At 43.1% G+C, this 23691-nt stretch overlaps 1 long non-coding RNA gene and 2 pseudogenes across 1 annotated transcript; 2 read left to right on the forward strand and 1 right to left on the reverse strand.

Moving 5' to 3' along the window:
* The first annotated feature begins 5671 nt into the window (after nt 1-5671).
* LOC124904098 (uncharacterized) lies at nt 5672-6537 on the forward strand. Its single transcript, XR_007065974.1, has 2 exons — nt 5672-5829; nt 6082-6537. It is a non-coding gene; the product is annotated as an uncharacterized LOC124904098 (long non-coding RNA).
* On the reverse strand, nt 6252-7317 carry LOC100533640 (WEE1 homolog (S. pombe) pseudogene; annotated as a pseudogene).
* WEE1P2 (WEE1 pseudogene 2) lies at nt 17043-18560 on the forward strand (annotated as a pseudogene).

Consider the following 23691-nt stretch of genomic DNA (forward strand, 5'->3'; position numbering starts at 1 on the left):
CTCTGTGAGATGAATATACACATGGCAAAGAATTTTTACAGATAGATTGTTTCTAGTTTTTTTGTTGGGATATTTGGATTTTCACTGTAGGCCTCAATGGCCTCTGAAACGTCCCCACCTAGATGGTACAAAAGGACTGCATCCAATGTGCTGAATAAAAATAAAGGTTTATCTCTATCAGAAGAATCCAAACATTAAAAAGCATTTTCACAGATAGCTTGTTTCTAGCTTTTATCATGGGATATTCAGTTTTTCACTAATGGCCCTAATGGGCTCTGAAATGTCCCTTCTTAGATCCTCCAAAGACAGTGTTTCCAACATGCTTAATCAAAACAAAGGTTTAATTCTTTGAGATGGATCCAGACATCACAAAGCATTTTCAGAGATAGATTTTTTATTGTTTTTATCACAAAATATTCATTTTTTTACTATAGGCATCAATGGGTGTGAAATGTCCTTTTGTATATTCTATAAAAAAGTGTCTTTAACCTGCTAAATAAATACAAGGTTTAATTCTGTGAGATAAATCCACACATTGCAAAACATTTAAAAAGATAGCTCGTTTTTACTTTTTATTGCAGTATATTTGGTATTTCACTATGGGCCTCAATGGGCTTCAAAATGTTACTTTGTAGATTTTACAAAAAGAGAGTTTCCAACCTGCTGAATCAAGACAAAGGATTAACTCTGTTAGATGAATTCACACATTGCAAAGAATTTTTACTGATAGCTTGTTTCTGGTGTTTATCGTGGGATAATCAGTTGTTCATCAACCTGCTGAATCACAAGAAAGTGTAACTCTGTGAGATGAAATCACACTTTGCAAATAATTTTCAGAAACAGCTACTTTGTAGTTTTTATCATGGGAAATTCAAATTTTCACTGTTAGTCTCAATGGGCTTTGAAATGTCATTTTGTAGATTGTACAAAAAGAGTGTATCCAATCTGCTGAATCAAAACAAAGGTTTAATTCTGTGAGATAAATCCACACATTGCAAAGCATATTCACAGCTAGGTTGCTTTTAGTTTTTATTGTGGGATATTGGGGTTTTCACTATAGGCCTCAATGGGCCCTGAAATGTTTCTTCGTAGATTCTACATAAAAAGTGTTTTAAACCTGCTGAATCAGAAGAAAGGTTTAACTCTGTGAGATGAATAAACACATTGCAAAGCATTTTTACAGATAGCCTGCCTCCAGTTTTTGCCATGGGATATTTGGTTTTTCCATATAGGCTGCAATGGACTCCAAAATATTACTTTGTAGACTCTGCAAACTGCTGAATTAAAACAAAGGTTTAACTCTGTGAAATTGAATCCACACATCACAAAGCATTTTCACAGATAGTTTACTTCGGTTTCTTACTGTAGGCCTCAGAGGTTTGAAATGTCTTTTCTTTGTTTCTACGAAAAGTGTGTTTCCAACCTGTGGAATCATAGTAAATGTTAAACTCTGTGAAATGAATTCCAGACATTGCCAAGCATTTTCACAGATAGCTGGATTCTAGTTTTTATTGAGGGATATTCGTTTTTTTACTATAGACCTCAAAGGGCTCAGAAATGCCCATTTGTAGATTTTACAAAAAGAGTGTTTCAAATTTCCTGAATCAAAACAAAGGCTTAACTCTATGAGATGAATCTACACATCTCAAAGCATTTTCACAGAGAGCTTGTTTCTACTTTTTATTATATATATTATATATATTTATACTTGGTTTCTCACTGTAGGCCTCAATGGGCTCCAAAATGTTTCTTCGTTGACTCTACAGAAACATGGTTTCCACTCTGCTAAATCAGAAAAAAGGTTTAACTCTGTGAGCTAAATCCACACATCACTAAGCATTTTCACAGGTGCCTTGCTTCTAGTTTTTATTACAGGATATTTTGTTTTTCACCCTAAGTCTAAATGGGCTCCAAAATGTCCCTTCTTAGATTCTACAAATACATTGTTTCCAACCTGCTGAATCAAAACAAAGGTTTAACTTTGTAAGGTGAATCCACACATGGCAATGCATTTTCAGAGTTAGATTTTTTATTGCTTCTATCATGAAATATTTGGTTCATTACTATAGGTGTCAATGGCTGTTAAATGTCCCTTCATATAACCTATAAAACAAGTGTTCATAATTGGCTGAATAAATACAAAGTTTTAACTCTGTGAGATGAAATCATACATTGCAAAGCATTTTCAGACATAGTTTCTTTTTAGTTTTTATCGACGAACATTCATTTTTTCACTATAGGCCTCAATGGGCTCAGAAATGTACCTTCACAGATTGTACAAAGTGTATCCACTTGTGGAATCAAAGCAAAGGTTTAGTTCTGTCAGATAAATCCTAACATCACAAAGCCTTTTCACAGATAGTTTGCTTGTAATTTTTATCGTCGGATATTCTGTATTTTACTGTAGGCCTCAATGGGCTCTGAAATGTTTTCTCCTAGATTCTACGAAAAAAAGTGTTTCCAACTCTGTAAGATGCATCTCACATTACAAAGCATTTTCACAGAAAACTTGCTTCTAGTTTTTGCTGCAAATATTCAGTTTTTCACTATAGGCCTCAATGGGCTCTGAAGTGTCCCTTTGTTGATTCTACAAAAAGACTGTTTATGAAGTGCTGAATTAAAACAAAGGTTTAACCCTGTGAGGTGAATCCGCACATCACAAAGCATTTTCACAGGAAGCTTGTTTGTACTTTTTATCGTGGGATATTTGGTTTTTCACTATAGGCCTCATTGGGCTTCAAAAAGTATTTTATTAGATTCTATGAAAAACATGTTTCCAACCTGCTAAATGGAAACAAAGGTTTCACTCTGTGAGATAAATACACACATTGCAAAGCATTTTCACAGATAGCTTTTTTTCTAGTTTTTATCATGGGATAATCGATTTTTCACTATAGGCCTCAATGGGCTTTGAAAAGGCCCTTTGTAGATTCTACAATTAAAGTGTTTTCAACCTGTTGAAACAAAACAAAGGTTTAACTCTATGAGATAAATCCACACATTACAAAGCTTTTCACTGATTGATAGGTTTTTTCTAGGTTCTATCGTGGGATATATAGTTTTTCTTTTTCTTTTTCTTTTTTTTTTCAGGGGACGGAGTTTTGCTCTTGTTGCCCAGGCTGGTGTGCAATGGTGCTATCTCTGGCTCACTGCAAGCTCCTCCTCCCCAGTTCAAGCCATTCTCCTGCCTCAGCCTCCCGAGTAGCTGGGATTACAGGCATGTGCCACCACACCCGGCTAATTTTGTATTTTTAGCAGAGATGGGGTTTTTCCACATTGGTCAGGGTGGTCTTGAACTCCCAACCTCAGGTGATCCGCCCTCCTAGGCCTCCCAAAGTGCTGGGATTACAGGCATGAGCCACCATGCATGGCGGGATATAGAGTTTTTCACTGAATGCCTCAATGGGCTTCAAAATGTCCCTTCATTGATTCTACAAAAAGAGTGTTTCCAACGTGCTAAATCAAAACAAACAAACAAACAAAAAAAACTTTAACTCTCTGAGATGAATCCACACATCACAAAGCATTTTCACTGATAGCTTGTTTCTAGTTTGTACTGGGAATATTTGGTTTTTCACTATAGAACTCAATGGGCTCCAAAATTTTCTTTTGTAGATTGTAAAAAAGGAGTGTTTCCAACTTATTGAAGCAAAAGAAAGATTTCACTCTGTGAGATTAGCCCACATATCGTAAAGCATTTTCACAGATAGCTTGCTTCTAGTTTTTACCACCAGATATTCTGTTTTTCACTCTAGGCCTCCATGGGCTCCAAAGTGTCCCCTTGTAGATTCTACAGAAAGAGTGTTTCCAAACTGCTGAATTGAAACAAATGTTTGACTGTGTGACATAATTTTACACATCCCAAAGCATTTTCATGGATAGCTTGTTTGTAGTTTTTATTGCAGGATATTCAGTTTTTCACTATAGACCTCAATGTGTTTTGAAATGTCCCTTCTTAGAATCTACAAAAAATGTGCTTCCAAATAGCTGAATCAAAACAAGGTTTTAACTCTGTGAGATAAATCAACATGCAGTAAAGCCATTTGACAGATAGCTTTCATTAAGTTTTTATTGTGGGATATTCTGCTTTTCTCTATAGGCACCAATGGGCTTTGAAACGTCCCTTCATAGGTTCTACAAAAAAAAAAGTGTTTACAGGCTGCTGAATCAAAACAAAGATTTAGCTTTGTGTGATTAATCCAGATATCACAAAGCATCTCACTGATAGTTTGTTTCTAGTTTTTATCGCAGGATAATTTGTTTTCCACTATAGTCTCAATTGGCTTCTGAATCACCCTGGTAGATTCTAGAAAAAGAGTGCTTCCAAACAGCTGAATCACAAGAAAGGTTTAACACTGTGAAATGAAACCACAAATCGGAAAGCATTTTCAGTGATGGCTTCTTTGTAGTTTTTATCACGGGATATTCGGTGTTACACTATAGGCCTCAAAGAATTTTAAATGTCCCTTCATTGATTGTACAAAAAGAGTGTATCCATCCTTCTGAATCAAAACAAGCGTTTAACTCTGTATAACAAATCCACACACCCTAAAGAATTTTCACCTTATCCCCCAGCAAGGAAACTCTTGTTCTCCCAGCTTCTATCGGAGGGCTGCATGATTCCTGTAGGATGAGAAACAGGCAGCCATGTCTGGCTTTTACCTGGTAATCTAGGCTGTTTCCTTTCATCTGCCCATCCTCTCTCATTGTAGAGGGGGTCTTTCACTGGGCTGTTGCTGGGTGGGACTGCCTCTCACTGGGGATCTTTTGTCTGTCACGGATTTCAGAGAGCAAAAGGGATTTCAGGTAGGCTGGCTGCGCTCCAAGTTGTGGATAGCGATCTCATTGAGGGGGTTGGGTTAGTTTGCACTTTGCAGGAGACTTTTGGGTCTTCTGACAGGAATCCTTGAACATGGCTTGGACTCCAGCACAAATCCGCTTGTTCTCCCAGGCAAGCGTTGATTTTTCTTTGCTTTCATGGTGGGTCCACAGTGCCCCTCAACAGCACTCCTAGACACCATTTTCAGGCTTGCAATTGCCCTAAACGGCCTCTGAGACACCCTCTCAACGTCATCTGCACCCGTGAGATGCTAGTTCGAGGTTTGAGAACACTGCCTCACCTCGGACTTGCCTTTGTCATGGTTCCTGCCTTCTAGAGTGCCCTGCTGAGAAGCAGGAGCCCCTGCAAGGCCCAGAATGAAGGGACGTAGTGAGCTCAAGGGCCCGGCCATCTTCCACTGACCCCCGCCTCTGGGGTCTCAGGTATGATTCCATCACGTGGACACCCGTCAACAACTCACCGGACTGTATTTTCATTCCCATGCGACCGGATTCTTGCACACAGCCTCTTTCTGGAACAGAGTCAGAAGAGCAATTTCCAGCACCCACCTCACAGTTTCGAAACGCCTCCTCCTCCAGCGGGACCCGACCTCAGAGACGTGCCGAGGAGGCCTTATTGTCGAGACATTTAGGGTCCCGCAGTGGGTTGTCGCGGGCAGCATTTTCCCGAGACCAGGTGCGCTCTGCCTGCACCATTTTCCTCTGCTTAGGTAGGCTGACAGCACTGACAACCCGGCGCCCAAGACTGCTTCACGAATGCGAATGCGTCAGTCTCTAGGCACCAGGCGCCAGTGGTGAGCAATGGCTCGCGTCACAGTGGCCACCGTTGCCTGGAGACAACTCCCTGCGGCTTGGTGGAGGAGACCTCTGTGGACATGCATTGGTGTTGGACTCTCGCCTGTGCTCTCTGGGGGATCCACGGGATAGTCCCCCGATTCTAGGAACTGGCAGGGGGAAGCAAGCCTAAAGAAACATCTAGTGAAGCTTCAGGTATAAATCGCGTAATTTCTAAGGATCCAAAAGGAACTGCAGGATGCGCCAAGCATGCCTAGTGGTCTCCTTGAGGGGTCTGGGGTGGTTTGCAGTTTGCGGGAGGCATCTGGGTCCTCTAGCTGGAATCCTTGAACGTGGCTTGGAGTCAAGCACAAGTCCGCTCGTTCTCCCAGGCGGGCCTTGATTTTTCTTTGATTTTATGGGGGTTCCACAGTGCCAATGAACAGAACTTGTGGACACCCTTTTCAGGCTTGCAATTGCCCCAGTGGGCCTCTGAGACACTCTCTCAACCTTATCTGAACCCGTGAGAGGCCAGTTCGAAGTGTGAGAACACTGCTCCACCTTGGAGTTGCCTTTGTCTTGGTTCCTGCCTTCTCAGAGAGCCGTGCTGAGAACAGGAGTCCCTGCGAGGCCCGGGATGAAGATCTTCTCTCTGGATCCGGAAGAATCATAATATTTATCAACTCTGTAAACTCTCGGGAAAGCACTTGTGCTAGCAAGGTAACCTGGCCTTTGTGAATTCATGCACTAGTCTCCATTTCTGGGAAGAGCTTCAGCACCAGCAGCACATACCACTGTGAGGGCAAGTGAAAAAGTATCACTTTGGGTAGATGGATATAATCCTCCCGTAAAGCTTCATTTGCAAGAAAACCACTATCACCCTTTTCCACCTGTGGAATAAAGATCCTTCTTACATGTCCAAGATCACCTGTGTTTAACATATTTATGTTGGCTCCCCAGTCATCTCCGTCTTGTTCACAGGCAGTATTTGGGATTGAGATTCGAGATGTAAAAGTAATACTAGATTTTGTATCCCTGTGACCCAAAGACATTGAATGAATATACCTCAAGCCCTGGCTACCTTGCAAAAGGAGAGCCTTCAACTCTGCTTCTTTAAAGTAATTTATGATTCTGCAGTTTTCATTCACTTCAGTATCAGCTAAATTTCCACCATGACAATATTCATCCTGTGTAAGCATAGGACCATCTTCTGCCCAGACAGAGAAATACGGAACTGCATGAGGAAGCCGTCCAGGCACTGCAGTAGAGCCTGTGCTCCTCTCAGAGTTCTTTGCTCACTGCAGAGTCGGCTTAAGGCTTTCCTGATCACCTAATGTGGTGCATGCACCCATGCTGCCTCTTCACACAGTAAACACAGAACCAAAACCTCCAGAGCAACTTTCTGCAGCTCCTGAAACTGCTGTGCGCCTTAACCTCGCTTTGCTCTCAGTCACTGCAGTTCTCTCAGCAGGCCACGTTTCATCTCCCAGCTCCTGAGCACTGGCTTCCATGTCTTCACTACAACAATCATCCCCATACCCCCAACAGAATCCGGAGTGAAAGAATCCGGAGTGAAAGGATCCGAATTCACTTGAAGTCTGTTGCACATCCAATTCCCATTTCCTGATTTTTCTGTATCACGAAGAAGAACGGTCCCAGAGTTTAACAGGGCTGGGATCAATTCTTCCAGCTCTGGAGAGAAAAACCGGGAGTGCAAGTGGCGGGTGGCAGAGGCGAAGCTTGCAGGAGATCCACTGGGACCCCCGGGATCCCTCAGCGCCCAGCAGGGCCCTCCCCGCCCGGGCCCCCACAGTCCTGCGAAGCCTCCCCCCAGTGCCCCCAGCACTCGCCAGAACCAGTAGCCCAGGAAGCAGGTGCCGCTGGCCACCAGGAGCCCAAGTACCCTCCCCGCACCAGTCACACAGAGACCCGCTGCCAGGCCGGTCAGCGCAGGGCAGGGCCCCAGAAGCTCCTCAGGCTCCAGCTCCAGGGGCTGCTGGGCCTGGCGGGCAAGGTTCCGCTCACCCCCAGAAAAGGAGACGGAGACCCACAAGGACCTCAGCTTGTCTGGTGCTGGAGGCCTGGGCTGTCAGAATGCCTCTCCGCCTTCCGGCAGGCGGGAGCCGCATGCGCCCCCTAGTGGCCGCGGCCAGAAGCTGTCACATCCCATGGGCGCAGGCGCCTCAGCCCCGCAAGGGGCGGGCTGGAGGTGCCACTCCCATTCATAGACCAGGAATCAGAGCCCTGGGCTGGAAGAGTCTGGTCAAAATTCTTCCAAACTGAGTGGGGACAGAGACCAACTCACCCCCAGCTGCAGTGTATGCAGTGTAGACAGATCTGGACTTTAGCCATTCCTGAGCCCCCCCTTGCCTCACCCGTACATGCCCGGCCCACCTTTCCCTTCCTCGCCAGGACCCCACATCCCTCCCTCTGAGTCGCTTCCTCTCTGAAACAAATAGTGGTGATAGCGAGTAACACATCAGTAACAAGAAACTAGCAGGTGCTCAGTAAAATGGTCTACCCTGGCCTCTTCCACAGTCAAGTGAGCATTAACAGGAAAATGCTCATTGGAAGTGGAGAGTCGCCGGCAGCCCCTCCGCCTCCCTCCGGCTTGGCCTTCCCGCAGAGCAAACTGGGGCCCAGAAAGGGTGTGGGCGAAGACCCTGTCACCTCCCAGCAGGGGGCGTGCTGCCCGCGGTTTTCGGGATCCTGGGCGTGGAGCCATCCTCACAGGACCCTCAGAGGTGGAGAGGAGAAAGAGCACACTCATTTGACAGGTGCAGAGACTGAGGTCCGTGGGGCAGGGGTGAGCGGCCCAGGGCAGCCAGACCTGTGAACAGTAGAGCTAGGATTCCAGCAGGTCCCCAGCCAGTCACTGGGTGAGCCCCTGTTGTGTGGGGATCACTGAGGTGCAGGCATTCTGATAACCACCGGCTTGAGGAACTCATGGTGCTCCATCCTGAATTCTGGGGCGCTTTCTAGGATACAATATGGTAAAGGTTGTGTAACATGTGTGAGGTCCAGCATGTGCACGAAGCAAACAGGGATAGATTGGGGTGGTAGTACAGGGACAGAATCACAGTTGGGACCCTTGAGAAGGCAGTTGGAATTTTTCTGCCAGAGCAGGAGAAACCCTCTGGGCACCCAGGCTGGCATGTGCAAAGGCGTAGAGGCAAGCTCCCCCTGACACACGGCTGGAGGGGAAGCTCTAAGTGCTGCGCACAGGCTGTTCACACTGCATCCTTCTCCCTGGACTTGCTCCCCCCACAGCACCTCCATCCTTCCAGTTAGCTATCCAGGCCACCACCCTCACCCTCTCACACCCACATCCTGTGGGCCCCACATTTGAGAGACAAGAATTCAGTTGCTTCTCACCCTCCATGGGTGCTCATCACCTGGTCTGAGTCCCCATCCTCTCTCTCCCCATACTTGGTCTCTGCTTCCATCCTTGACTCCTGACGTCTAATTGCAACTCAATACTAGGTCAGATCATGTCACACTTCTGCTCTGGTGCAAGAATTATGTGGTTCCTTCAGTTCAGTGTCCACCAGGATTTGATATTCCCAAGGCACATCTCTCACTCCTTTGTTCTCATTTTACCTTCACACAGGAAAACACTTTTTCTTCTTGAAGTGTGCTGTTATGTAGCTACTCTTGGCGATGAAATCTCTGTTATTACTTTTGAAATTATTTTAATTGTCTTTATGCCCTAAAGATATTTAGCTATATATTCAATGCTAGCTTGAATAATAATTTTTCTAAGCATGCGTTTTGACTTTTTAAAATTTAAGATGACATTAGATGATTTTATTATGTACATCATGATGTTTTGAACATTCCACATATAGATTGTTGAATGGTTAAATCTAACTATTAACAAATGCATTATCTAAGATCGTTATCATTTTTGTTGTGAGAACACTTATCATCCACTATCGTTGCAATTTTCTAGAATGCAATATATCATCAGTAACTGTAGCCACCTTGCTATACAATAGAATTATTGAAATTTGTTTTTTTCTATCCAGTTTTAATTATGTGCCCTCTGACCAACATCTCCCCATCCTGTTCCCCTCTCTAACCACTCCAGCCTCTGCTCATCGCCATTCTGCTCTCTACTTCTATGAGACCAACTAGTTTAGATCCCTCATATGAATGAGATAATGCAGTATTTTTCTTTCTGCACTTGGATTATTTCACTTAATATACTGTCCTCCAGGATCATCCATGTTGACAGTAATGACAGCATTTTATTCTGTTGTATGACTAACTAAATATCATTCCATTGTATCTGTTTATGTAATACATACATAAATGTATGTATACAAGCATATGTAGATATACCATTCTTCAAATATATTATTTTGCATTTATTTTTATTAAAAGTATATTTCTCCCTTATCTAAATGCTGATAAAAATATGAGGTATTTTCAGTCCTTCCTCTTAATAAAAGCCAAAGTTAAAGGTCTGTTTCCCTGTTTTTTAATAAGATTCTATTTCTTGCTGATTTTTTTGAGTTCCCTGCACATTCTGCATATTACTGCTTAATCGTAAGCATGGTTTGGATTTTTTTTTTCCTTTCTGTATAATGTCTGTTTCCTCTGTGGTTTATTTGTTTTCTTTGCCAAAACTTTTTATTAGTTTAATTCGGTCCCATTTATTTATTTTTGTTTTTGTTGCATTTGCTTTTGGGGTATTTGTCATAAATTATTTATCTAGGCCAACGTCTGGAAGAGTTTTTACTAGGCTTTTCTTCTAGAATTGTTATGGTTTCAGGTCTTAGATTTAAGTCTCTAATCCACCTGGAGTTCATGTTTGGATATGGTGAGAGATACAAACACAGTTTCATTCTTCTACATCTGGCCACCCAATTTTCCCAGCACCTTTTATTATGTATGTGTATGTTTTTGTCTAATTTGTCAAAGGTTGTTATTGTTTGGCTGTATTTGTTAGATTCTCTATTCTGTTACATTGTTGTATGTGTTTATTTTTATACCAGCACAATGCTGTTTTGGTTACTGTATCCTTGTAGAATAAATTGAAGTCAAAGGAAAGACAAAGGAAAGTTGTTGTCTTTCCTTTATTTTGAAGGAGAGTTTTAGCAAATATAAGTGTTCTTAATTAGAATTTTTTCTTTCAATACTTTGAATATGTTATCCCCTTTGGCCCTGGCCTGAAAGAAGAATTTGAGAATTGCGCTGATAGTTATGTGATGAGTAGATTTTCTCTTGCTGCTTTTAAAATTCACTTTTTCTCTTTGACTTTTGACAACTTTATTAAAATATGTCTTGGTGTAAGGTTCTTCATGTTCAATCTACTTAAGGACTCTTGAACTTCATGATTCTGGATGTCCACCTCCCACCTCAAATTCAGCAAATTCTCAGTCAGTATTTCTCAAAATAAGCTTTCTATTCTTTCCTCTATTTCACCTTCTTGTATCCACATAACGCATATATTGCTTTATTTGATGATGTTTCATAAGTCTCATAGATTTTTTTTACTCTTTATCTTTTGCTATTTTTTTTTTTGTTTTTTGCACCTCTGTCAGGATAATTTCAAGATAGCTGTTTCCCACTTTGCCATTTCCTCTTCATGACTGAACCTGCTGTTAAAACTCTCTATTAAATTTTTCAGTTTAGTCATTATATTCTTCAGCATTAACATTTCTGTGTTTATTTTTATCGCTTCTATTTATTACTGTAACTTCTGATTTTCTTTATGTATTGCTTTCCTAATTTTGTTTAGTTGTCTATACTTGTTCCCATATAGTTCACTGAGCTTAGTATCTAAAATAATTACTTCCAATTTTTAAAAGCACATTGTCAATTCCTATTTCTTTGGGGTCTGCTATTGAAGCTTTTTTGCTTTACTTAAATTGTGTGATATTTTCCTGATTCTTCATGATTATTGTGGCCTTGTGCTGGTATACATATTTTTGAGAAGGTGGTCACTTTTTCTAGTCTTTACAGGTTGGCTTCAGCAGGAAAAGTTCTTCACCATTAAGTGTGGCCTGGTGTTCTTGTTCGGTCAGGTGGTTGAGCCTGTTGATGGATTTGGCTGACTGGCGGTGCTTCAGGGTCAGAAATGTCTGCTGGTTTTAATCCCTCTGATTTGGTAGCTTTGTTGGGTGAGGCCACTTGAAGCACTGTGGGGCACATTGAGATTTGCATGTACCAGTCACTGAGTGTTTCACCCCATTTCTTTGGTGCTAGTTATCTTCATGTGGTCTAAGTATTAAAATTCTTCCAGCGTTTGTTTTGAGGCAAAGCAGAAGTTTGTCCATCAGGCAGCACTCCCCAGATAGACATTGAATATCCACTTTGATCTACTTTTCTCCCACTGGAAAAATAATGGGCTGAGGGTATACTTCTCAGCACAGTATTGTTCTGGATATGGAAGTGGTAAAGCAAACAAAGTAAAATCATTCCTCTTATCCTTTTTAATGAGTCTGTCTTTGCTTTTGAGCTCTTTTTGGGTTTTGCAATCTCACAGTGGTATTTGGAGTTCTCACAAAAGCATTCTTTCCTGTGGGTAGTTGCCAAATAGATGTCTCTTTGAGGGAAACAGGGCTGGGAACCTACTATTCCACCATCTTACCAGACTCCCTCTACATCCAACCACTTCCATCTCTCAATCTCTCAGTAATTTGTAAAATAGGAAAATACAAACATGTCTAGAAATCATTACTAAAACTAACAGATGAGTTGAGTGAAGCCACAGTATATAAGCCAAATGTGTAAAAAAGTCAATGTGTATTTTTATAGACTGGCAGTGAAAATCAAACCTTACCCTGAAAAACCTGAAGGAAATACCGAGGAAAATTAAAGAATACCTACATAAATAGAGCTATCATGTTCACATGTCAGAATATTCAATATAATTAATATGTAAATTTTCCCCAAATTAATACGCAGCATCAACACAATTCAGTAAAATTTCAACAAAGGGCTTTGTAAAATTTGATAAACCAATTCTTAAAGTACTTTGAAAATATAAATAATCTAAATTAGTGAAAACAATAATGAAAAACAGTCACATTTAGAGACATATCTGAAATAAATACTATAAAGCTACAGTATTCACAACAGTGTGTTGTTACTTGAGGAAATAATTATAAATAATTGTAATGATATAGGAAGCTCAGATTATATATATATACACACACATATAAACACACACATATATGTGTGTATATAGATGTATATATTTACACACATATATAATTTTTTATTAAGGAATGCATGAAGGCAATTCAAAGGGAAGAATAGAAATTTACATAAATATTCTCGGAGAAGTTGAATACCCATATGTAAATATGTGAACATTGATTAATCAAAGTACATCTGAAAAATTAACTTCAAATGAATTTGAGATGTAAGTGTAATAGATAAAAGTATATATTTTGTATGAATAAAGCATAGGAGAAATTTATTGTGACCCTGGGATAGGAAATGGTTTCTTAGATAGCCTACACATGCAGAAAACATAAAATAAAATGTATAAATTGAGTCTTCATGAGACACTGTTAAAAATAAATTGACAACCATAGCCTGAGAGAAATATTGAAATACATATATTTAATAAATGTTGGTGTTCAGATTTGTATATACATAAATCATACAGCTCCGTTAAAAGAAGGCAAATGACCTGACAAACATTAATGGGCAAGGTCCATTAGCTGCTGATGGGTAAACACATTGCGGCGTGCCCATATGATGGACTATTTCTCAGCAATAACAAGTAAGAAATTAATGATATGTACAACTTGGATGATTTCAAAGGAATTATTATGAATTAACAGAAGACACTAAAGACTACATAAATGTTAAAATCGCAATTATGTGAAATTTTTCAAAAGGCAAATACAGTAGCTAAAATATAATAGTTTTGTCATGGGCATCATGTATAAGGAGAGAATTTAATGAAAAGGACCAGATTGAGCTTTTCATGGTCATGGGAATGTTCTACAACATGTTTGTGGTAGTGATTATACAGTCACATGCATTTTGAAATGAAAATGTATAAAATTTTACAAATTATTCATTTATAATTGATGAATTTTAAAGAATGTAAATTGAACCTCAATAAAATTATTTCAAATTATGCTATGGAAGAATGTGTGGGACAATTGGAGCATGCTCAAAACATAGTGAATGTCTGCAATCATTTAGAAAAACTGTATTTTAGTATTTATTTAAGCCAAACAGATGCTCTCCCTGTGACTAAGCAATGTTCCTGTAAATATATATACCACAGAAATGTATCCTTATAATCATGGCACCTTTCTTTATAATGGCTAAAACAGGGAATGTATCCAAATGTTTGTCAACAGTAGAATGAATAAATTCTAAAATATTTGGAAAGAAAGCTCTCAGGACAGGGCAGAGTGGGATAACATATTCAAAGTATTGAAAGAAAAAATTCTAATTAAGAACACTTATATTTGCTAAAACTCTCCTTCAAAATAAAGGAAAGACAAAAACATTCCTTTATCTCTCCTTTGACTTCAATTTATACTGCAAGGATACAGTAACAAAAACAGCATTTTGCTGGTATAAAAATAAACACATAGTTCAATGGTACAGAATGGGGAATCTAGATATATAGCCAAACAATAACAACCTTTGACAAATCAGACAAAAACAAACACATACATAATAAATGGTGCTGGAAAATTGGGTGGCCACATGTAGAAGAATGAAACTCACCATATCCAAAGATTAACTCCTGGTAGATTAGAGACTAAATCTAAGACCTGAGACAGTAAAATTCTAGAAGAGAAACCTAATAAAAAACTCACAATAAATCACAGAGGAAACAGACATTATATAGAATGTGAAATAAATTCCAAACTATACTTACGATTAAGCAGTAATATGCAGACTCTGCAGGGAACTCAAAAAAATCGGCAAGAAAAAAGAATCATTAAAAAATGGGGAAACTGCCCTTTAACTTTGGCTTTTATTAAAAGGAAGGCCTGAAAAGACCTCAAATTTTTATCAGTATTTAGATAAGGGAGATATATTTTAATGAAAATAAATGCAAAATAATATATTTGAAGAATGGTATGTCTACATATGCTTGTATACATACATGTATGTACATACATAAACACATACAATGGAATGATACTTAGTCATACAACAGAATAAAATGCTGTCGTTACTGTCAACATGGATGATCCTGGAGGATATATTAAGTGAAATAAGCCAGGCACAGAAAGAAAAATGCTGCATTATTTCATGCATATGAGGGATCTAAACAAGTTGGTCTCATAGAAGTAGAGAGCAGAATGGTGGTTACCAGAGGCTGGAGTGGTTAGAGAGGGGAACAGGATGGGGAGATGTTGGTCAGAGGTCACGTAATTAAAATTAGATAGATAAAGTAAATTTCAAGAAATCTATCGTATAGCAAAGTGGCTACAGTTACTGGTGATATATTGCATTCTAGAAAATTGCAACGATAGTGGATGTGTTCTCACAATGAAAATGATAACTATGTTAAATAATGCCTCTGTTATTAGCTAGATTTAGATTTAACCATTCAACAATCTATATGTGGAATGTTCAAAACATCATGCTGTATGTAATAAAAATCATCCAATGTCATCTTAAATTTTAAGAAGTCAAATAGCATGCTTAGAAAAAATATTATTCAAGCTAGCATTGAATATATAGCTAACTATCTTTCTTGGTAAGGAGTATTAAAATAACTTCAAAAGTAATAACACAGAGATTTCATTACCAAGAGTAGCTACATAAGAGTACACTTCAAGAAGAAAAAGTGTCTTCCTGTGTAAAGGTAAAATGAGAACAAAGGAGTGAGAGACATACCTTGGGAATATCAAATCCTGGTGGACACTGAACTGAAGGAACCACATAATTCTTGCACCAGAGCAGAAGTGTGACATGATCTGACCTAGTATTGAGTTGCAATTAGACGTCAGGAGTCAAGGATGGAAGCAGAGACCAAGTATGGGGAGAGAGGGGATGGGGACTCAGACCAGGTGATGAGCAGCCATGGGGTGGGGGGGTGAGAAGCAACTGAATTCTTGTTTCTCAAATGTGGGGCCCACAGGATGTGGGTGTGAGAGGGTGAGGGGGGTGGTCTGGATAGCTAACTGGAAGGATGGAGGTGCTGTGGGGGGAGCAAGTCCAGGGAGAAGGATGCAGTGTGAACAGCCTGTGCGCAGCACTTAGAGCTTCCCCTCCAGCCGTGTGTCAGGGGAAGCTTGCCTCTATGCCTTTGCACGTGCCAGTCTGGGTGCCCAGAAGACTTCTCCTGCCCTGGCAGAAAAACTCCAACTGCCTTCTCAAGGGTCCCAACTGTGATTCTGTCCCTGTACTCCCACACCTATCTATCCCTCTTTGCTTCGTGCACATGCTGGACCTCACACATGTTGCACAGCCTTTACTGTATTGTGTCCCAGAAAGCGCCCCAGAATTCAGGATGGAGCGCCATGAGTTCCTCATGCTGGTGGTTATCAGAATGCCTGCACCTCAGTGATCCCCACACAACAGGGGCTCACCCTTTGACTGGCTGGGGGCCTGTTGGACTCCTTGCTCTACTGTTCACAGGTCTGGCCGCCCTAGGCCGCTCACCCCTCCCCGACGGACCTCAGTCTCTGCACCTGTTAAATGGGTGTGCTCTTTCTCCTCCCCACGTCTGAGGGTCCTATGCGGAGGGCACCAGGCCCAGGATCCTGAAAACCGCGGGCAGTGCGCCCTCTGCTGGGAGGTGACGGGGTCTTCGCCCACACCCTTTCCGTGCCCCAGTTGGTGCTGGGGGAAGGCAAAGCCAGAGGGAGGCGGAGGGGCTTCCGGTGACTGTCCACTTCCTGGAAAGTGGATTCATTTTCCTGTTAATGCTCACCTTGACTGTGGAAGAGGCCAGTGTAGACCATTTTACTGAGCACCTGCTAGTTTCTTGTTACTGAAGTGTTACCCGCTATAACTCCTATTTGTTTAAAAGAAATAAGCGACTCAGAGCGCGGGGTGTGAATACTGGAGAGGAAGGGAAAGGTGGGCTGGGCATGTACCGGCGAGGCAAGGGGGGAGTCTCAGGAGTGGCTGAAGTCCTGATCTGCCTACACTGCATACAGTGCGGCTGGGGTTGAGTTGGTCTCCGTCCCCGCTCAGTTTGGGAGAATCTTGACCAGACCCTGCCACCCGAGGGCTTTGATTCCTGGTCTATGAATGGGGGTGGCACCCCCAGCCCTCCCCTTGCTGGTCTGAAGCACCCCCTCCCACAGGCTGTGACAGATTCTGACCGCGGCCAGAAGGGGGCGCGCGAGGCTGCCGCTGGCCGCAACACAGAGCTGCATTCTGGCAGCCCAGGCTCTAGCACCAGACTGGCTGAGGTCTCTGCGGCTCTTCGTCTCCTTTTCGGGGGGCGGAGTGAGCGGAACCTTGTACTTCAGGCTCAGCAGCCCCAGGAGCTGGAGCCTGAGGAGCTGCTGGGGTCCTGCCCAGCGCTGACCGGCCTGGCAGCGGGTCCCAGTGCGACCGGTGAGGGGAGGGTGCTTGGGCTCCTGGTGGCCAGCGGCACCTGCTTCCTGGGCCACTGGTTCTGGCGAGTTCTGGGGGCGCCTGGGGGAGGCTTCGCGGGACTGTAGGGGCCCCAGGCGGGGAGGGCTGTGCTGGGCGCTGAGGGATCCGGGCTCCCTAGTGGACCTCCTGCAAGCTTCGGCTCTGCCACCTGCCACTTGCACTCCCGGTTTTCCTCTCCAGAACTGGAGGAATTAATCCCAGCTCTGTTAAACTCCGGGACGGTTCTTCTTCGTGATACAGAAAAGTCAGGAAAAGGGGAATTGGATGTGCAACAGACTCCAAGTGAATTCGGATCCTTTCACTCCGGATTCTGTTGGGGTCATGGGGGTGATTCTTGTGATGAAGACATGGAAGCCAGTGCTCAGGAGCTGGGAGATGAAACGTGGCCTGCTGAGAGAACTGCAGTGACTGAGAGCAAAGCGAGGTTAAGGCGCACAGCAGTTTCAGGAGCTGCAGATAATTGCTCTGGAGGTTTTGGTTCTGTGTTTACTGTGTGAAGAGGCAGGATGGATGCATGCACCGCATTAGGTGATCAGAAAAGCCTTAGGCCAATTCTACAGTGAGCAAAGCGCTCTGAGAGGAGCACAGGCTCTACTGCAGTGCCTGGACGTCTTCCTCATGCAGTTCCGTGTTTCTCTGCCTGGGCAGAAGATGGTGCTATGCTTACTCAGGATGAATACTGTCATAGTGGAAGTTTAGCTATGCTGCAGTGAAAACTGCAGAATCATGAGTTACTTCAAAGAAGCAGAGTTGAAGGGTCTCCTTTTGCAAGGTAGCTGGGGTTTGACCTATATTCATTCAATGTCTTTGGTTCACAGGGATATAAAATCTAGTACTGTTTTTACTTCTCGAGTCTCAATACCAGATGCTGCCTCTGAAGAAGAGGAAGATGACTGGGGATCCAACCAAATTATGTTAAACACAGGTGATCTTGGACTTGTAACAAGCATCTCTAGTCCACAGTTTGAAGAGGGTGATAGGTGTTTTCCTGCAAATGAAGTTTTACAGGAGAATTATACCCATCTACCCAAAGAGATGTGTTCCTGCTGCTGAACCTCTTCCCAGAAATAGAGACCAGTGCATGAATTCACACAGGCCAGGTTACCCTGATACCACAAGGGCTTTCCCAAAAGTTTACAGAGTTGATAAAAGTTATGATTCCTCCAGATCCAGAGAGAAGACCTTCAAGCAATGGCCCTGGTAAGCATTCGGTACTGCTGTCTGCTTCTAGAAAGAGAGAAGAACAGTAACAAATAGAATCGAAGCCTGGAAAGTTCAAAAATTTGCTTTTAGAAGGATAACTCAAGGAAGCACAGATGGCAGAGGCTGCAGCTGAAGCAGAGCGCTCTGCTGGCGGGACAGCCATCGTGTCCAGCACCCAGAGTAATGGGCCATTCAGCCTAGTGGAAGGCACATGAGCTGCTCCATCAACCTTCCTGCATACTCACCTACTCATGTCCCACCTCTTCTAGAAACTGTGACAAAAGGGAGCTAGGTTGAAATCACTGCTGGAATCCCGTTTGTAATGACTTTCACTCTTGGTGTCAGTAGTTTTACTGCTTGGGACTTTTATTTGTGAATTACAGTTGAAAGCTGCATTTTTACCTATGTCAGGCTTTCATCTGGCCTTACCAGTCTTTCCTCTGTAGGATGGCAGTCACTGTTGGATATTACACCATCCTGTCCAGGGCTAGCCACTGTGGTGGTGTGCTGCTTATAGCTTGCTCTTGTATTGTAATAAAAGATATCTTTCCCTGTCGTGATTTGTAAGAAGAACTCAAGGGCATTGTTACAAAAATATTCTCCCTTCAAAAAGAGAAAAGCTAAAAGACTCATTACTACTCAGACTTCAATACACCTGTGTGTCAATCTTATATTTCTTTTTTTATACAAAACTGTAAAATATACTTTTAGGTCCAAAAGTATACTTTTAGTGCTTTGTAAGCATTGCGTGAAGCCTGATATGATAATTCCATGGAAGCATTGCCTTGGGAATTTGCTGTCTTTGCTGTAAGCTTGTAGCATTAAACAAACATTGTAGTTAATAGGCTTTCTCTTTGAAACAATTATGTGAAATGTACAGCTGTTCTTGAGGAACTTTGAAGCTAGTTCATTGAAAAATGCTCCTTTCCCTTCCCTTGTAATGCTATATTAATGAAGTATAATAATTACTGGTTTTGTAATTTTTTTTCTGGTAATGTTCTTCTCTGACTCTTTAAAAATGTCCCTTCCCTCCTCCCAAGTTTTATACTAGACTGTGGTTAGTCTGATTCTAAATGTTTTACTTAGTTTATCCTCAATATTCATGTATATAAATTGATCCTGGTGATCCTGTACATGGCTGTTTGCAATGCCAGAATGATTTCTGACATTCCAGGTTTTTCACAAAATATATTTTATTTGTGATTAGTCACTTGACTAATAATATCAGCTAAAAGATGTCACAAAAAATAAAATAAAAAAAGTGGCTGGGCTCAGTGGTTCACACCTGTAATCCCAGGACTTTGGGAGGCTGAGGGAGGTGGATCACGAGGTCAGGAGATGCAGACCATCCTGGCTAACACGGGGAAACCCCATCTCTACTATAATACAAAAAATTAGCCGGGCGTGGTTGCAGGCGCCTGTAGTCCCAGCTGTTCATGAGGCTGAGGCAGGAGAATGGTGTGAACCCAGGAGGCAGAACTTGCAGTGATCGGAGATCGCGTCACTGCACTCCAGCCTGGGCGACAGAGCGAGACTCTGTCTCAAAAATAAAATAAAATAAAATAAAATAAAATATAAAATTAAAAAGAATTTGTGTCTTGTTTGTTTCCTCATTAATGTTGGTTGAAAGCATATTTGCACTTGTCTTTGACTTGCATTTTATTAACATAGATTGGCATATTAAAAGTCCCTCTGAGTTTACCTTAATTGTCTAAAAAAATGTAAGAAAAAGGGCCTGTGGGAAGGACAACCAGGCAGAGGGGCTAGTGTGAGCACATGCTGGGCAGGAGGGAAGAGATAATGACGCGGACCAGGGAAATCCCCAAACCCAGCAAGTCAGGGAGCCAAATGAAAGCCTTTCATCCTGTATCGGCCACCTAACCCCATCGACACTCCAAGTGAGCATTCTCTTTTAGAGATACTCATTGCCCTGTTTTTTTTCTGTAATCTTGTAAAGGAATCTGATTTCTCCCATTAGACTTTCACAGTACTAAAATTTCACATTAGAATGCTATTCTTTAGAAGGCACCTTCCTAGACTAGGCTGCAAGGAGACTGAGGAAGTTACTGTCAGTCACTTAAACCCCACAGGGACATTAATTCAACAGAGCTTTGGTGGGGGAGTAGAGGAGCTCACTGCAGGCAGGTCTGGATGCTGCACAGAGTGTAAAGGGAGCAGAAAGACCCAGGACACCTAGGCCTGGAGATAGCTCCAATCCCGGGAGGTACTGTTATTATCCCCATTTTACAGAGGAGGAAACTGAGACACAGGCAGGTAATATGATCAAGACCACGCTGCCCCACAGTAGAGGAGCCAGGATCTAAACCCAGGCAGCCTGCCTTGCTATCAGAGCTCTCACCCATAACCTCATGCTGCTGTTAAGCAGGATTGCCCTGTGGCCAGGGTCACAGCCTCTGGGTTCACATTCTAGCTGCTCTACCACTTCAAGGTGTGTGTCCTTGGGCAAGTTACTTGTCTGTGCTCAGTGTCCTCTATACAGTGGGTGTAGCAGTACCTGCCTCATGGAGTCCCTTAAGTGAGTTAATAGCTGTAACATGCTTAGAATGGTGTCATGTCCATCATCACCATCCACTACATATAGGCCATCATACCTGAATCCCAGATGGACACATATCCTTGAAGGGTCTAAAATCCAGGATCCTGAAATACCTGGAAGTGGTATCCTGAAATCCTCTGGCAGCATTCTAACATCTTTTGACTGCAGAATTGTACCCTGCTTCCCAGGGCTAGAAGGTGTGGGGTAACCTGCTACCCAGTTCAGCCCCAAAGTAGGAAAAGAAAGTTTTGTCACAGGCTTGTCTGGGGCCCAGCCCCTGTAACCTCCCCCATCCCTCCTTTGCATGCTCCCTCACCCAGATTCACACATGCACTCCAGGTCTTCTGGGCCCAAAGGGAAGGAGAGAGGGTGGGGAGTGGGTTCACTGGTCCACTGGAGCATGCTGCCTCCAGCCCTGCTAAACTGGTGGGTCCAGGGAATGGGCCTGGAGCTGAAGGGGTCTTGATCTCCCTTTAACTTTAAGCCTTCATTTGCAGTGACCCAAGAGCTTCACTTCTTCCTGTGAGCCTGTCTGGATGTTTATGCTGGATGGCACGGGCCCCTTCTGGCAGGGCTGCAAAGGTCAGGGCCTGGCTGGCAGCCATGGCAGGTGAGGAGACCTTGGCAGATGAGAAGACCTTCTGCTTCAGCTTCAATGTATGGGTCTTCTCCTAGCTCTCAGTACATTCCTCCTGAGCCATGATTGGCCCCAGTTCAATGACACCTTCTGCGGCAGCATCATGGTGTCCAGGGGTATAATCTGTAGCATGTGCCAGTGCTACCCCAAGGTATATGGTGGTGGGGCTGAGTGGAGCCAGAAGGGCTGGATCTTGTTCCTCTCTTCCGTGTATGAGCCCCATCCTTCAATCATCTTCTTGTTCTTTTCATTTTGACTCCCTGTTTTATTCTGTCTTCTCTTCTGAGTATCCATCCATTCATTTATCCATTCATCCATCTATTCATCCCTCCATTCATTTCAGCATTAATCTATCAATCCATGCATCCATCCATTTATTTATCCAACCACCCATCCATCTATCTGTCCATCATTTAGCATAAAGATTGATCATAAGCCTCCTGGTTCTGGAGCCATGGACCAGACACCATGGGGAGACATGATGAAAAAGAAGATATAATTTGTGTGCTTGAAACAAAAGTTAATGAGTGCTTACCACCTGCCTGGCAGTCCTGCATTCAGGGTGCAGTTCTCCCCTCATCCTGAGTTTTTGGTACCTTCTGTAGTTTCATTTTGTAGTAGAGAATGCTGAGCCTCACAATATGTGGTCACTCAGCTGCATAGTGGAGTTTAGATTGGAGCTCAGATGTGTGTGACTTAGACATCACCCTCTGCCTTGAGTCCTCCACTCCAGGGTCCCAGAGCTGCTGAGCATTCTGGGGTTGGTCAGCTCTAACCTTGGTGGCATGCATTGAGCAACTCTCCATATTTTGGAGTCTTAATGTATTCTTAGCCTTAGTGATGGCAAGGACCCTGCTTTGGGAGACCTGGGTTCTAGTTCCAGTTCTGTCCCAAACTTGCTGTGTGATCTTTGTCTTTCTGAGCCCAGTATTTGCATCTGCACAATAGGACACAAGCACTAATTTTCATAGCCTCATAGGGTTGTTGCAGAGGTCAGAGAAGAGAAGAGACATATGAATATTTGTAGATTGTAGAGTGTTTTGTTTAGGTGAAGGGCTGTCAGATCCTGATAACCCTCTGGAATGAAGATGTCAGAAATTGTAAACCTTCAATGCCCAGAGAGGTGGAGTGACTCTTCCAAGGTCACATAGCTAGTCAGAGACAGACCTAGGGGAAAAAAGAAGAGAAACATGGATTCTAACTTGGGCTCTGTCTCTAACTGCCTGGGATACTGCTCAAGCTCCTTCCCTCTCTGGGCCTCAGTTACCTTGTTAGTACAATATGTGAGACAGGATGAGGGGATGGAAGATGGAGGGAGGGACCTGCTAGAGCTCACCTCTACGGCCCAGGCTTGGGAATCCCCAGAACCCCCATATTGTCCTTTACACCTGGGTGGCTGTACTCAAGGGCTCAGGGAGGGGGGACTCCTGTGGCCCTGGACTCCCTAGCCATTCCCCTTCTGTGGGCCCACCCTAGGCTGTCAGCGTGTTAGGTGCTGGAATGGTCTGAGCTGGTTTGTAGTCATTTCCGAGGCAGTTTATGGTCGCCTCACCTCTGTCCATGCCATGTCCTGAGCAGAGGCCCCAGAGAGAAGAAGTCCTGGGGGCCAGAGCCACCCGTGTCACCACTAGCCATGGTAGTCCTCTTCCCCGTGAGGAGGGTGCACCCTGGGAGATGGCATCGGGTGGAACGAAGCATCTGTCCTGACCTCCCTGTTAACCAGAGGTGGCTCTGGGGCTCTGGGCAGGGATACAGGAGTGGCAGTGGGAAGCAAAGTGGAGGAGGAAATATTGCTGGATACTAATGAGTCACAGTTGATAGATTCATGTCTTCATGTGCTGTGGAGGCAGTGTGGTGGGGTGCAGATGGCGTATGTTTTGGTGACCTACAGGCTTACATTCAAATAGCTGTTACCTCATGTTCCACATCTGTGACCTTGGCAGGGGAAGCTCCTCAACCCCGAACCTTGCATAGCTGAGTGGGAGAAACCAGAAGGGTCTTGTGTTGTCGGGGACCTGGCATCATGCCTGGCACAGAGAGTTTGCAAAATCTTCATTCTCAAGATTGGCATTTGTAGCTCTAGGGGATACACACAGAGGTCTCTGTATGTATGGGCAGTTACATGTGGATA

The sequence above is a fragment of the Homo sapiens genome, chromosome 17, assembly GCF_000001405.40.
Source record: "Homo sapiens chromosome 17, GRCh38.p14 Primary Assembly".
NCBI lineage: Eukaryota > Metazoa > Chordata > Mammalia > Primates > Hominidae > Homo > Homo sapiens.